The sequence below is a fragment of the Homo sapiens genome, chromosome 10 (genome assembly GCF_000001405.40).
Source record: "Homo sapiens chromosome 10, GRCh38.p14 Primary Assembly".
In the NCBI taxonomy this organism is placed as follows: Eukaryota; Metazoa; Chordata; class Mammalia; order Primates; family Hominidae; genus Homo; species Homo sapiens.
In genome coordinates this window covers 94,574,412-94,588,635 of record NC_000010.11, presented here as the reverse complement: position 1 = coordinate 94,588,635, position 14,224 = coordinate 94,574,412, and the positions used below count along the sequence as shown (strand labels likewise).

The window sequence follows — 14,224 nt, the reverse complement described above, 5'->3', positions numbered from 1 at the left end:
GCCAAGGTGGGTGGACTGCTTAAGCCCAGGAGTCTGAGACCAACCTGGGAAACATGGCGAAATGCCAGTCTCTACAAAAAAATACAAAAAATTTAGCCAGGCAGGTAAAGGCTGCAGTGAGCAGTGATTGTGCCACTGCACCACAGCCTGGGTGACAGAGCGACACCTTCTCTCAAAAAAAAAGGGAAAAAAGAGAAATTTTATATGTCAAGTTTCATTTACAGTACATTTCAAAACCACTATACCTCACTGGATCCAAACATGTTTGCAATTGTACGGTTCACAATGGCTGTATAAAAGATCTCCTGCTTCTTTGAAAGTGGAGCATAAACGACTACTTCTCGTTTAGGAGGAACTTCAAGAGCAACATCAGACTTCAGTCTTCTCAATAAGAAAGGTGTTAAAATCTAAAATTAAAACATGAACAGAAAAATATGAGTATTAAACATTCTTGTTTTTCAAGGAATACTGTCCCCATATACTCCTTTACCTTATCTTTTGACTTCCTATATAAATAATGCCAAATCTCAAAAGGTGAAAATATCTTGAGATTTTCCCAGACCAGACCAAATGATAAACTCACAGTTGTCCGCAGCATTTCAGAATTTATTTTCTTTTAAAAACTGTAAGAATCTATCTCAAATAATTTTAAAAGTAAAAATATAAAGGTAGCATTTGTATTTCTTAGGGTTGAAGTTTCAGTTATAGCCCACAACTTTTAGAATGAGATGTTATCAGCACCATACAAAAGGGGAAATAATAAAAATGAATAAAAATTAAAAATATTTGAAATAATGAGTACAAAAAGTAGAAATAATAAGACCTAATATTTGGTAGCACAACAGGGTGACTACAGTCAATAATAATTTAACTTTTACATTTTAAAATATAAAGAAGAGTATAACTAGAGGCCAGGTGCGGTGGCTCACACTTGTAATCACAGCACTTTGGGAGGCCAAGACGGGTGAATCACCTGGGTCAAGAGTTTGAGACCAGCCTGGTGAACATGGTGAAACCCCATCTCCACTAAAAATACAAAAATTAGCTGGGTGTGCTGGCGGGTACCTGTAATCCCAGCTACTCAAGAGGCTGAGGCAGGAGAATTGTTTGAACCTGGAAGGCAGAGGTTGCAGTGAACCAGGATTGTGCCACTGCACTCCAGCCTGGGTGACAGAGCAAGACTCTGTCTCCACACACACACACACACAAAAGTGTATAACTGGATCATTTGTAACACAAAGGGTAACAAATGCTTGAAGGGATGGATACCCCATTCTCCATGATATGATTATTATGCATTGCATTTCTGTATCAATATCAAAACATATACCTCATAAATATATACATCTACTATGTACCCAAAAAACTAAAAGTTTTTTTAAAAATTAAAAATTTTTTAATAGAATGAGGTTTTAAGACTCAGTAAAAAGCCAGCTGACCTAGGGATGCAGACATACAAGTTTCCTTCTATAAGTTCTAAAGTTTCAGGCTTAAAATTATTCTCTTTCATTAGCTGGGGTGGTTACAAATGATTATCACATTTATAAAGAGAACACAGAAGCAACAGACAATAATTATGCATTAAAATATTCGGGTCACTAAAAGAGCACAAATACTAGATTAAAATCATTGTATACTCTAGGTCGGACGCAGTAGCTCACACCTGTAATCCCAGCAGTTTGGGAAGCCGAGGCGAGCAGATCACCTGAGGTCAGAAGTTTGAGACTAGCCTGGCCAACATGGTGAAATCCCGTCTCTACTAAAAAAACAAAAAAATTTAGTCAGGCGTGGTGGCGGGATTACAGAATCCCAGCTACTCGGAAGGCTGAGGCAGGAGAATGGCTTGAACTTGGGAGACAGAGGTTGCAGTGAGCCAAGATCTTGCCACTGCACCCTAGCCTGGGCGACAGAGACGTTGACTCAAAAAAAATACTACTACTACTACTAATAATAATAAACAAATAATTGTATACTCTTTATACCCCTGCCATTAAATACTGACAATGGTTTACATATAGTAATCATATATAATAAAGCTCATTTTCAGGACTCTGGACTTAAATACCCAACAGGTATAGAGCTAATCATAGACAGACTATTACCAAAGATAGTAAACACATTACCAGTGTTGGTATCTACCAACCCAAAAACAAATATGCCGACAGGCAATCAGGAAAAATATGTAAATGTTTCATAAACATGTTAAAACATGTCCGGCCGGGCGCGGTGGCTCACGCCTGTAATCCCAGCACTTTGGGAGGCCAAGGCAGGCGGATCACGAGGTCAGGAGATCGAGACCATCCCGGCTAACACAGTGAAACTCCGTCTCTACTAAAAAATAGAAAAAATTAGCCAGGCGTAGTGGCAGGCGCCTGTAGTCCCAGCTACTCGGGAGGCTGAGGCAGGAGAATAGCGTGAACCCGGGAGGTGCAGCTTGCAGTGAGCCGAGATTGCACCACGGCACTCCAGCCTGGGCAATAGAGCAAGATTCTGTCTCAAAAAAATAAAAATAAATAAATAAAATTAAAAAAAACATGTCCATGTCTGTAAGGAAAACATGAAATAACCAGATATTTTTCTACCACATGCACTGACAAATGCTATAGTTTGATGTTAACTGAAATGGCAAATATGTGGAAGAAGAGGCACACTATACCGCTGAAACACATGTATAAAAAAGGTATTTATATATGTTTTTCCTAGTATACAAGCTTTCAAAGCAGACAAAAACAAGACTTATACAAGACCCATCTACCAAAAATTAGCTGGACCTGGTGGCATGCACCTTTGGTTCCAGCAACTCAGAAGGCTGAGGCAGGAGGATCACTTGAACCCAGGAGTATGAGTTGGAGGCTGCAGATAACAACCCAATAACCAACGATGGCACCACTACTCTCCTGCCTGGATGTCATAGTAGGACATTGTCTCTAAAAAAAAAAAAAAAAATCTGTTGGCCAGGTGCAGTGGCTCACACCTGTAATCCCAGCACTTTGGGAGGCCAAGGCGGGCAGATCACTTGAGGTCAGGAGTTTAAGACCAGCCTGGCCAACATGGTGAAACCTCGTCTCCACTAAAAATACAAAAAAATTAGCCAGGTGTGGTGGCACACGCCTGTAATCCCAGCTGCTCAGGAGGCTAAGGCAGGAAAATCGCTTGAACCTGGGAGGCAGACGCTCACTGCACTCCAGGCCTGGGCAACAGAGTGAGACTCTGTCTCAAAAAAAAAAAACCAAAAAAACAAAAAAAAAAACAAAAACAAACAAAAAAAAAAAACAAAACAAAAAAACTATTAGTTATACTTTGGAGATAAGAAAGGAAGTGCAGAAGGAAAACAGAAATTTTTACTTCTTACTTTTTAATTTCTAAATGTTTATAACATTTAAAAATATCTTACCGTGTACGCATAATTTTAAAATAAAAAATTTTAAATAATTAATTTGTAAAGGTTATACTGCTTTTGGCCTTCAATATGGGGTGGAAATAGAAAAGTAGCAAGCTTAGAGAACTTTAAACGGAAAGTAAAAAAAATTTTTTTTACTATGCAAGGTTTATGTAAACATTGCATAAAAAAAGGAAAGGAATTCTTTCATATAGAAAATAGTTAAGAAAATATACTAGCGATTTAAAACTATCTCCACCTAATCTGAATTCATTTTGAATGAAAACTTTTTCCTGTAGTAATGCATTAAAACATAATTAGGACAAAGCGTAAAAGTAATATAAACTCAAATTTAAGCACAGTATTACAGAGAATATTCTTATTGCTAGAACATTCAAAACTGCCCCTATTTTTGATAAAACTGTTGAATTTGGATATAATAAAAGTTCATTATCATATCTTAATATTAATGGAAATCTGAAGTTATCTATAGTAAAACAATTCCAGTGAGCCCTCTTATGGAATTATCAACTATGACAATTACTACAAATGTTCAATCAAAAGGCAGATGATCATTTCTAAGGAATATCTATCTACCTGTATACACTGTGAGGTAACGTGTAAGTGACAAATTCTATAAATATTCATTGTCTTGACTCTAATTAAATTTCCTAAGAACAGAAACTTAATCCTTTGCTACACTATATGGATGTATACACTACTGATGAGGATGTGATATCCAAACACATCTCTTCCTAAATAAGTCATTTACTCCAATAATTCAGACTGGGACATTTAAAAGCTTCTATAACTATTGGTGCATTGAAATTTCTGTCATTGCCCAGAGTCACAGTGGGAAAAAAAGAAAATTTTAAATATAAACACACACGCTTGTGCACATGAACACACACAAAGATACCATAAACAAAGTTTATCCCAAAAAGTGAGGGGAAAGAAATTATTTGCAACATTAACTTATTTTTAACATATAGTTATTATAAACCATTAATAAATAAATATTCCAACACATGTTGGAATATGGCCACAAGGAACTACCAATAGTCAATAAACATCTCAATTCAGCAATAATCATCCTTTTTAATCTCTGCAACACTGAAAAGGACTTCTAACCTCAAAATTGGTATGAAGCTTGAGTAAATAAGTATTTTCATATGGACGTATATCATATAAATCTTTTCTGGAGGGCAATTTGCCTTCAAAGAAGCCCTCATCTGTAAACTCTGACACATACATTCTAGGAATTCTTTCCTAAGGAAATAGCCAGAAATGGGCAAAGGTGTAGTTTTAAATACAGATACTACAACCTTGTTTATATTGTTGAAAATTTTGAAAAGAGGAAGAGATAGATATTATTAATTATAGTAGAACAAGACAATGGGATAATAAGCAGCTATTAAAAACTGATTTAAATCTACATGTAGTAAAAGGAAAATAATTTTCTGATAACTGTTTAAAAGACTATCTTAAGGAACAATTTTATTTTTAAAGTCCTTTTCTTCATAAAATATAGATAAAACACACGTGTTTACACAAAGACAGAAAAGAGTTTGGATTGTCATATAACACAACATAATCATTCCACATGCACTGCTAGGAAATACAATTTTAAGAGGAAGTGATATTTTTACTTTTCACTTCTCTCCTGCTTCACGTTTTTCTCATGAACATGTATAAACTTTAATATCAGAAAAAACGATAAAGACTTTGAATAAAATTGCTAAACCACAACTGAGAAGCTTTTCAGGCCCATATGACTAGATTACCCTTGAAAGATAATGTTTCTCTAAATTAAAGATAGGTAGGATGGGGTAGGAATTACAGGAAGCAATAAAAATAGATTAGACAGCAGCCATGCAAGGATGTAAATTATAAAAGTATTATTGGCAAGCATTCCATAAAAACCACATACTTCTGTTTTGTGCTTGACAAACTTATCAGTAACCATTAGGGGTAAAATGAGTATACTATCTGAAAAGGACAAAACTTAGGTAAGCACTTGAGTTCTGTCATAAAACCATGTGACCTCTGGGAGAAGAAAGGACAAAGGAGTCATTTAAATGTAGGAGGATCTTCATTTTTCAAATCTCTACTACAAAGGGTTAGACAGGTGATCTCCAGAGTTCCTTTTATACTCTATCGAGCCTATGGTTAAGCAGAATAAGAAAACATGGAAAACCTGGTGCAGCATATGCAATACATTCTGTTCTCTTTCTTTAGCAATAATATCTTCAGCAGTTTCAGAAAGACTAGTGATGTCAAACCAAGACTCAAAGCTGGAAGAGAAAAATGTTTAAGTTAACCATCACATAAATTCAATTATGTCAACATGATACATGATTTATCATTTACAGTAATAATCTGATAATGAAACGTGGTATTGTTGCATCAAATCCTTAGGTGCAATTTTTAAAATTTATAATGGAAGAGAACACATTCCAACAACAAAGATAAATTGGTTGCATTTTTGAACCATCAAGAACTGTGAGCTTAAAGGGAACACTTTTCTGATTTATAAATAGATTAACAATTGTACAGTAGTATAAAAATCAAAAATAAGATTAAGGTATATATTTATAATTTTACATTACAAAAGTGAGAACTATCTCTGAAAACCAAAGCCATATGATTTTTCTCCATCAGTCTAAGTATGGCCCACTACAATAAATATTTTAAAATTCAACATATACATAACTTGACAATAATATACATGCTTATTCCTTCCCAATGTTGAAAATATATATATTACAATGAGCAATTAAGTATGAGCATGCAGATTAATAATATAGAATAGGTAACATTATACCCAATTCTGGAAAATGCTAGTAACATTTATGCAGTAGACTAGAAGTTCCCAAACTTGGATCACCAGAAGCATGTTCAAAAAACTCAGATTCTCAACTCCTACCTTGACACTGTAACTCAGTATGTCTGCACAGGACCTGGAATTCTTGTCTTTCAATAAAAGCGCCCAGAGTCACAATAAGGTAGCCTGCCTTGAGCCACCATTCGGTAACCAGATTTGAAATAAATTCCCAAAATTTAAAATTATTTTTCCACACCCAATTAGCTTACTTCCTTCACTGATGCCAAAACAAGTATAAATTATTTTTTGCCCAAGTTATATTTCCGTTGTAATCAGTTTTAAATTATGTCAACATTACCTCCTCCTCCATTCTGAAGCTACTAATTACTTTCTGAAAACTACTTTTATGTCTGATTTTATTATATAAGCTAAGATTCAAACAGTTTCCAGAATTAAAACACTGTGTTTACATTGGGAGACCTTGGTTTTAACTTTGGCTCTGGTGCTAACTAACTAGTCTTATCTTGTAACAACTTTACACCTAGGTTTTCTTTTATGTGAGATAGGAAATAATTTAACAACTCTATTGTCCCTGGTTGTTTAATGAGGATATAGTAAGAAAAATCCATCTTAAAATGTTTTACAAAGGTAACACATAAAAGAACCTTATTATAAAAATATTATCTTAAAGTTGCATTCAGCAGTCTTCCTTTAATCAATGCAAGTAAGTTTTAAATAATCTTTTCTTAATCTGCTCTCACATAATTTGTGGCAGGAGTAGAACATACAATATACACCACAAAGAACTTGCCAAATATTTGGCATTTTAATTCAGTCACTGAAAAGAAAGTAATTTTAACTAACAGCACAGATTTTTGAGGTTAAATCATTAAATAACTGGCTTACCCACCTTTTCAAGTCATCAAATACATCTGGCAACAAAAAGTTTAGCAATGACCAAAGTTCTGATAAATTGTTTTGCAAGGGAGTACCAGTCAAAAGAAGTTTGTTATCAGCATTGAATCGTTTTAACTCCCTGATTAGACGGCACTTCATATTCTTAATCCTGTGTCCTTCATCTACTATTAAGTATTTCCAATAGCAATGCTAGAAAACGAATTGAGGAAAAAGATTTTTAAACAATGATCTCACAATTTTTCTAACAAGAATTCTAAAAATAAAACCTCTATTATGAGGGATGGATGTTGAATTTTATCAAATGTAATTTCAGTAACTACTGAAATGATCATGTTTTCATTTGATCCACTTACAAGGATTCCTAAAACTGATAGATATTTCTGTTCCTGGAAGAGACCTACTAAAATATGCAATAAAGTTTGAACTCCACCTATTTTGAATTTAAGATTTCCCTATTCACACCTTAGTCAACGCAGTTGTAGCTTTCTTTTCTAATATTTTCCCAAGTTTTGATATTAATGTTACACTAGACTACTAAAAATTGAGCTTTTATTAGTTCCATATGTGCTGAAACATCAAATAGCACTAGAATTTTCCCTTATTTAAGCAATTTATATTTTCACAGAAAGTCACCCACTCACTTTCATAAAGTTATCAAGGAAATTGTTTTAACTTTCTCATTTTAATATCTGTGATTTCTCATATATCTTAATCAGGAAAATTTATAATTAATCTAATTTATATTAACATACAGAAATATGAAGTATTTCTGGAAATATAAATAACAATCTGAAAAATATAACTATCCTTAAAAAATGGGACTGACAAATTGAGGAAAGAGTATAGAGAACGTTTTGCATTTTGCTTTATACATCCCAAAAGAATGAAAAAAGTTTATAGTACTGTATCTTCTTTATTAAAATAACCAAGAAAGGATTTATTTTCCTGGCAATATGTTAAACCAAAAAACCTGAATTATCTCTCACTGTAAGACAGCTATCTAAAAATCCAGATAAAAATATAAAATATCCTTGGCCGGGCGCAGTGGCTCAGGCCTGTAATCCCAGCACTTTGGGAGGCCGAGGCAGACGCATTACCTGAGGTCAGGAGTTTGAGACCAGCCTGGCCAACTTGGTGAAACCCCGTCTCTACTAAAAATACAAAAATTAGCTGGACGTAGTGGCACATGCCTGTAATCCCAGCTACTCAGGAGGCGAGGCAGGAGAATTGCTTGAGCCCGGGAGACAGGTTGCAGTAAGCCGAGATCGTGCCACTGCACTCCAGCCTGGGTGACAGAGTGAGACTGTCTCAAAAAAAAAAAAAAAAAAATGTGTGTGTGTGTGTGTGTGTGTATATATATATATATATATATATATATATATATATATATATATATACTTTTATAATGGGTATGTGAGAGAAAAGAAAACAAGGAAATAAATGATGAGGAATCTGAAAGCCAAATTAGCAAGTGAACTCAGTCACTTCCACTCGCACTCAGCAACAAAAGCCCTGGAACCTCACACTCCGTTACCAGAGTAAGCTAAGATCCTTGAAATGATAATATAAGCTCACTTAAATGGAAAAAGTCAAAAGTTTCTAGCCACTGGCAAAGGAAATGGACAAGGAAGCTTAACTATTTCATTACAGGAAGGGTCTTCATGTTATACTACTGAGTAGAAAACACAAGTTGCAAAAGTGAATGCAGGCTGGAAGTGGTGGCTCACACCTGTACTCCCAGCACTTTGGGAGGCCTAGACAGTTGGATGGCTTGAGACACCCTGTTCCTACAAAAAAATACAAGAATCAGTCAGGTGTGATGACGGACGCCTGTAGTCCCGGCTACTCAGGAGACAGAGGTAGGAGAATCACTTGAGCCCAGGAGATTCAGGCTACAGTGAGCTGAGATCGTGCCACAGGACTCCAGCCTGGGTGACAAAGTGAGACCCTGTCTCGGACCAAAAAAAAAAAAATTGAATGTATAGTATGATCATATGTGTAAATTATACCTACATGTTAGCTATAATTATTTAGTATAAAAGTAGTAGTTCTCTGGGAGGCTGAGGCGGGCGGATCACGAGGGCAGGAGATCGAGACCATCCTGGCTAACACAGAGAAACCCCATCTCTACTAGAAATACAAAAAAATTAGCCGGGCATGGTTGTGGGCACCTGTAGTCCCAACTACTCGGCAGGCTGAGGCAGGAGAATGGTGTGAACCTGGGAGGTGGAGCTTGCAGTGAGCTAAGATCGCGCCACTGAACTCCAGCCTGGGCAACAGAGCAAGACTCTGCCTCAAAAAAAAAAAAAAAAAGAAAAAAGTAGTAGTTCTCAGGTAGAATTACAGGTGCTTTTACATCTTCCTGTACACTACCCTTTAAAAAAAATTGGTATATATTACTTTTACTGTAAAGAAATGCTTTAAATCAGGGGTCCCCAACCCCCAGGTCACAGACCTGTAGGGGTCCATGGCATGTTAGGAACCAGGCCACACAGCAGGAGGTAAGCAGCTGTGAGCGAGGGAAGCCTCGTCTGTATTTACAGAAAAGGGAAGCTTCATCTGTATTTACAGCCACTCCCCACTGCTCACATTATGGCCTGAGCTCTGCCTCCCGTCAGATCAGGAGACATTATATTCTCATAGGAGCATGAACACTATTGTGAACTGCACATCCAAGGGATCTGGGTTGTCTGGGTTGTGCGCTCCTTATAAAAATCTAATGGTGGATGATTTGTCACTGTCTCCCATCATCCCTAGATGGAAAACAAGCTCAGGGCTACCACTGATTCTACGTTATGTTGAGTTGTAAAATTATTATTATTTTGAGACACAGTCTCACTTGGTTGCCCAGCCAACCAAGCGGCATGATCTCGGCTCACTGCAACATCCGCCTCCCGGGTTCAAGCAATTATCCTGCCTCAGCCTCCCAAGGAGCTAGGCCACTATGCCCAGGTAATTTTTGTATTTTTGTAGAGATGTGGTTTCACCATGTTGGCCACCATCTTGGCCAGGATGGTCTCAAACTCCTCACCTCAAGTGATCTGCCCGCCTAAGCTTCCCAAAGTGCTGGGATTACAGGGGTGAGCCACTACGGCCAGCCCTATTATTTCATTATATATGACAATTTTATAATAATAAAAATAAAGTGCACAATAATTATAATGCATTTGAATCATTCTGAAACCATCCCCCACCCATGGTCCATGGAAAACTTGTCTTCCACAAAACCGGTTCCTGGTGCCAAAAGGTTGGGGACTACTGGTTTAAATTTTTTTTTCTTTTTGAGACAGACTCTCACTGTAGCACAGGCTAGAGTGCAGTGGCGCAATCACAGCTCACTGCAACCTCCACCTCCTGGGTTTAAGCAATCCTTGTGCCATTAAACATGTGCACCATCACACCCAGCTAATTTTTGTATTTTTTTTTTTTTTTTTTTTTTTTTTTGAGACGGAGTCTCGCTCTGTCGGCCCAGGCCGGACTGCGGACTGCAGTGGCGCAATCTCGGCTCACTGCAAGCTCCGCTTCCCGGGTTCACGCCATTCTCCTGCCTCAGCCTCCCGAGTAGCTGGGACTACAGGCGCCCGCCACCGCGCCCGGCTAATTTTTTTGTAATTTTTAGTAGAGACGGGGTTTCACCTTGTTAGCCAGGATGGTCTCGATATCCTGACCTCATGATCCACCCGCCTCGGCCTCCCAAAGTGCTGGGATTACAGGCGTGAGCCACCGCGTCCGGCCTAATTTTTGTATTTTTAGTGGAGACAGGGTTTCGTCATGTTGGCCAGGCTGGTCTGGAACTCCTGGCCTCAAGGGATCTGCCCACCTCAGACTCCCAAGTGCTGGAATTACTGGCATAAGCCTTCATGCCCGGCCTGGTTTAAATACTTTTTAATGCTGTACACATTCATAAACTTTGCTAAACTCCTGAACTGAGATTTCTGCAAATCATATTCCAAAGTTTTACCAGCAGACACATAAAACCTGACAATACTGGTCATAATTATGCAAGTCATAATTATTCTATTTATGACTTATGTGTTTTGATTTTATGTTGAAACCATTAAATACTTTCCTATTTCCAAGCAAGCAAGATAAACCTAAGGGGACTGCACTAAGAGGGTTCTCACATGGCCAGAGAAAGGAAAAAAAAAGCAGTCAAGAATTATAAATGAATGAGGTAGAGCAGTGAGGAAGAAGTTCAAAACACCAATAAATGAAAACAGAAGGCATGAAAGAAAAAAGGTCAATCTTTCAATTCTGTTATGCTAACTGGAAATTATTTAAATAAGTAGCTAGAACATCAAGAAAATAGAAACGAAAATGCTACCAAATAGTCCAATAAGATACTCTAAAAATAACTTGTCTTCAAATACTCTTATTTGATTAAAATACGATAAGTAAATTCCATATATTCAAAGTACCTGTCACAAATATATCTGTAATACATTCCGAGATTAGGTCTATTTCTGGATGATTCTAAGCCATAGGTTAAACTGCCATAAGCTTTAATTATATTGTTACAAATGATGGCCTTCATCCCAATCATTCTGTTAATAAAAGTTTCCAGCTTCTACAGGTATATGCACAATATAATCTATTATTTCGACAACAAAAAAAAATTAGACAAATGCTCCCAGATGGTGAGAAAGTGATATAAATGAAGAAAAGCATGTTTTATGTATTACAAAGAAACCAATGAAGATCATTTGTACCTGTAACGCATTTCGGTCTCTCATGGCTATTTCAAATGACGTGATTACCACAGGATGAATCTGCAAAGTCCCTTTCCGTTTGTAAATATTTCTTACCAATTTTTGACGTTCCTCCTGGGTTCCATGATATAACATTGTAGGGATCTGAAAAATTTTATATTGATTTTTATCAGACTTAAGAACAAAATGTAAATATTGACTATTTAGAAAATATAAATCATTCTGAGGGAAAAAATATAATTTTAAAAAATTTTATTTCTATTTTTCTATAGCAAAATAAGCCAAGCAATTCTAACAAATCATTGAACTATTATGGGAGAAAATGAAAAAAAAACAAACAAAAAAACAAAGTCAGGCCCAGCACAATGGCTCACACCTATAATCTCAACACTTTGGGAAGCCAAGGCAAGCCGATCTCTAAAGTCCAGTAGTTCGAGATCAACCTGAGCAACATGGAGAAATCCCATCTCTACAAAAAATACAAAAATTAGCTGGTGTGGTGGTACGCACCCGTAGTGCCAGCTACTCACCCAGTGGAGTGAGATGGGAGGTTCACATGAGCTACTCAGGCGTGTGAGATAGCAGGCTCACATGAGCCTGGGAGGTGAAGGCCACAGTGAGCCAGAATGACGCCACTGCACTCCAGCCTGAGCAACAGAGCAACATCCTGTCTGAAGACAAAAAAAAAGGCATAAAAACAAATAGACGGGCCAGGTGGGATGGCTCATACCTGTAATCCCCAGCACTTTGGGAAGCTGAGGCGGGCAGACCACCTGAGGTCGGGAGTTCCAGACCAGCCTGACCAACATGGAGAAACCCCGTCACTACTAAAAATACAAAATTAGCCAGGCGTGGTGGCGCACGCCCGTAATCCCAGCTACCTGGGAGGCTGAGACAGGAGAATCGCTTGAACCCGGGAGGCGGAGGTTGCACTGAGCCGAGATCGTGCCATTGCACTCCAGCCTGGGCAACAACAGTGAAACTCTGTCATACACACACACACACACACACACACACACACACACACACACACAAACACAACCCCCCCCCCAACAAAAAACCTACAAATACATAAAACACATATAGGCTGGGCGCAGTGGCTCACACCTGTAATCCCACCACTGTGGGAGGCCAAGGTGGGCGGATCACAAGGTCAGGAGATAGAGGCCATCTTGGCCAACATGGTGAAATCCTGTCTCTACCAAAATACAAAAAATTAGCCTGGCCTTGTGGTGTGCGCCTGTAGTCCCAGCTACTACACTCCAGCATGGTGACAGAGACAGACTCCATTTCAAAATAAATAAATAAATAATATATATATAAATATATAAAATGAGACAGATGGTGATACTACGTCTAGAATATATATATTTCTCATAAGGCAAAAATGTGCAGAAGGGCTGGGCCCGGGAGGTACAGTGGCTCACGTCTATAATCCCAGTACTTTGAGAGGCCAAAGTGGGCAGATCTCTTCAGGCCAGGAGTTCAAGACCAGCCTGGCCAACATGGCAAGACATCGTCTCTACTAAAAACATAAAATTAGCTGGGCATGGTGGCACATGCTTGTAATCCCAGCTACTCCGGTGGCTCAGGCACAAGAATTGCTTCATCATGGGAGGCAGAGATTGCAGTGAACCAAGACTGCATCACTGCCCTCCAGCCTGGGTAACAGAGACTCCATTTCAAAAAAAAAAAAAAAAAAAAAAATTGCAGAAGGTAACAAGTACAGAAAAAACAGAAAACTCTCTTCTTAGCCTTTTGGCAAAGATCAAGTGAAGAACAAGCAGAATTTTTAATAAAATCTCTACCTAAGTCTGTCTCAGTCGAATCAAATTACCAATGCACTGAAAATCATTCAGGAATATTTTAGGAAAGATGTCAGGGATTTCCAAAACCTATACTATATAAATTTAAATTAGGGTATTGTGCAGATTGAGTAAGTCAAATCAGACAAAATATTTATACAGAAACCAATATAATTATAAGAGTTCTACAATTTAATTCCTACTACAACAAAGCATAAGAAAACATGTAAAATTATAATTTTAACATAAGGAAGCATGTCTTACATCTGGTGTAAATCTTTTGAATTCAGCCATCCAGTTAGGAAGTGTAGACAAAGGGCCACAGACAAGAAAAGGTCCTGGTACTCCTCTCTGAATCATCAATGCAATAGTAGCAATGCACTGAACTGTCTTACCCAATCCCATTTCATCTGCTAAAATGCCATTAATTCCATTTTCCCAAAGCATCTGGACAAAATAATAGATACTGTATTTAAACTTGGATATAAACAACTACAGGATTACAATATTTTATTTCTTCTCTTTAAAAAATCACACCCAAAGATGAGAATTATGTTAAAGCTGATATATTCACACCATAAATTATAAC

At 37.5% G+C, this 14,224-nt stretch overlaps 1 protein-coding gene across 11 annotated transcripts in view, besides 3 other annotated features; it reads right to left on the bottom strand.

Annotated features, from left to right (window-relative positions):
• Nucleotides 1-14,224, bottom strand: part of HELLS (helicase, lymphoid specific) — a 68,118-nt gene that overhangs the window by 25,270 nt on the left and 28,624 nt on the right. For 5 of the 11 annotated variants that reach the window (XR_007061960.1, NM_001289071.2, NM_018063.5 and 2 more), the window contains 5 exons: nucleotides 13,900-14,082; nucleotides 11,831-11,974; nucleotides 7,114-7,310; nucleotides 5,577-5,673; nucleotides 246-407 (listed from right to left, as the gene is read on the bottom strand). Coding sequence is in view for 10 of the 11 variants with exons in the window: in NM_001289071.2 (NP_001276000.1) it covers nucleotides 246-407; nucleotides 5,577-5,673; nucleotides 7,114-7,310; nucleotides 11,831-11,974; nucleotides 13,900-14,082 (783 nt within the window). In the remaining variant the exon portion in view is untranslated. Of the gene's footprint in view, nucleotides 1-245; nucleotides 408-4,510; nucleotides 4,649-5,576; nucleotides 5,674-7,113; nucleotides 7,311-11,539; nucleotides 11,555-11,830; nucleotides 11,975-13,899; nucleotides 14,083-14,224 lie in introns of all 11 variants that reach the window. The other 6 variants (NM_001289067.2, NM_001289074.2, NM_001289069.2 and 3 more) reach the window with 6 other exon arrangements.
• Nucleotides 5,195-5,395: a silencer, noted in NCBI's record as "peak1052 fragment used in MPRA reporter construct". NCBI's record gives its function as "represses an SCP1 promoter by STARR-seq MPRAs in K562 erythroleukemia cells {active_cell/tissue: K562}" and the evidence as "EXISTENCE:reporter gene assay evidence [ECO:0000049][PMID:32103011]".
• Nucleotides 12,257-12,756: an enhancer, noted in NCBI's record as "H3K27ac hESC enhancer chr10:96335637-96336136 (GRCh37/hg19 assembly coordinates)". NCBI's record gives its function as "activates a minimal SCP1, AML or CMV promoter by ChIP-STARR-seq in primed H9 embryonic stem cells {active_cell/tissue: H9 hESC(primed)}" and the evidence as "EXISTENCE:reporter gene assay evidence [ECO:0000049][PMID:30033119]".
• Nucleotides 12,757-13,258: an enhancer, noted in NCBI's record as "H3K27ac hESC enhancer chr10:96335135-96335636 (GRCh37/hg19 assembly coordinates)". NCBI's record gives its function as "activates a minimal SCP1, AML or CMV promoter by ChIP-STARR-seq in primed H9 embryonic stem cells {active_cell/tissue: H9 hESC(primed)}" and the evidence as "EXISTENCE:reporter gene assay evidence [ECO:0000049][PMID:30033119]".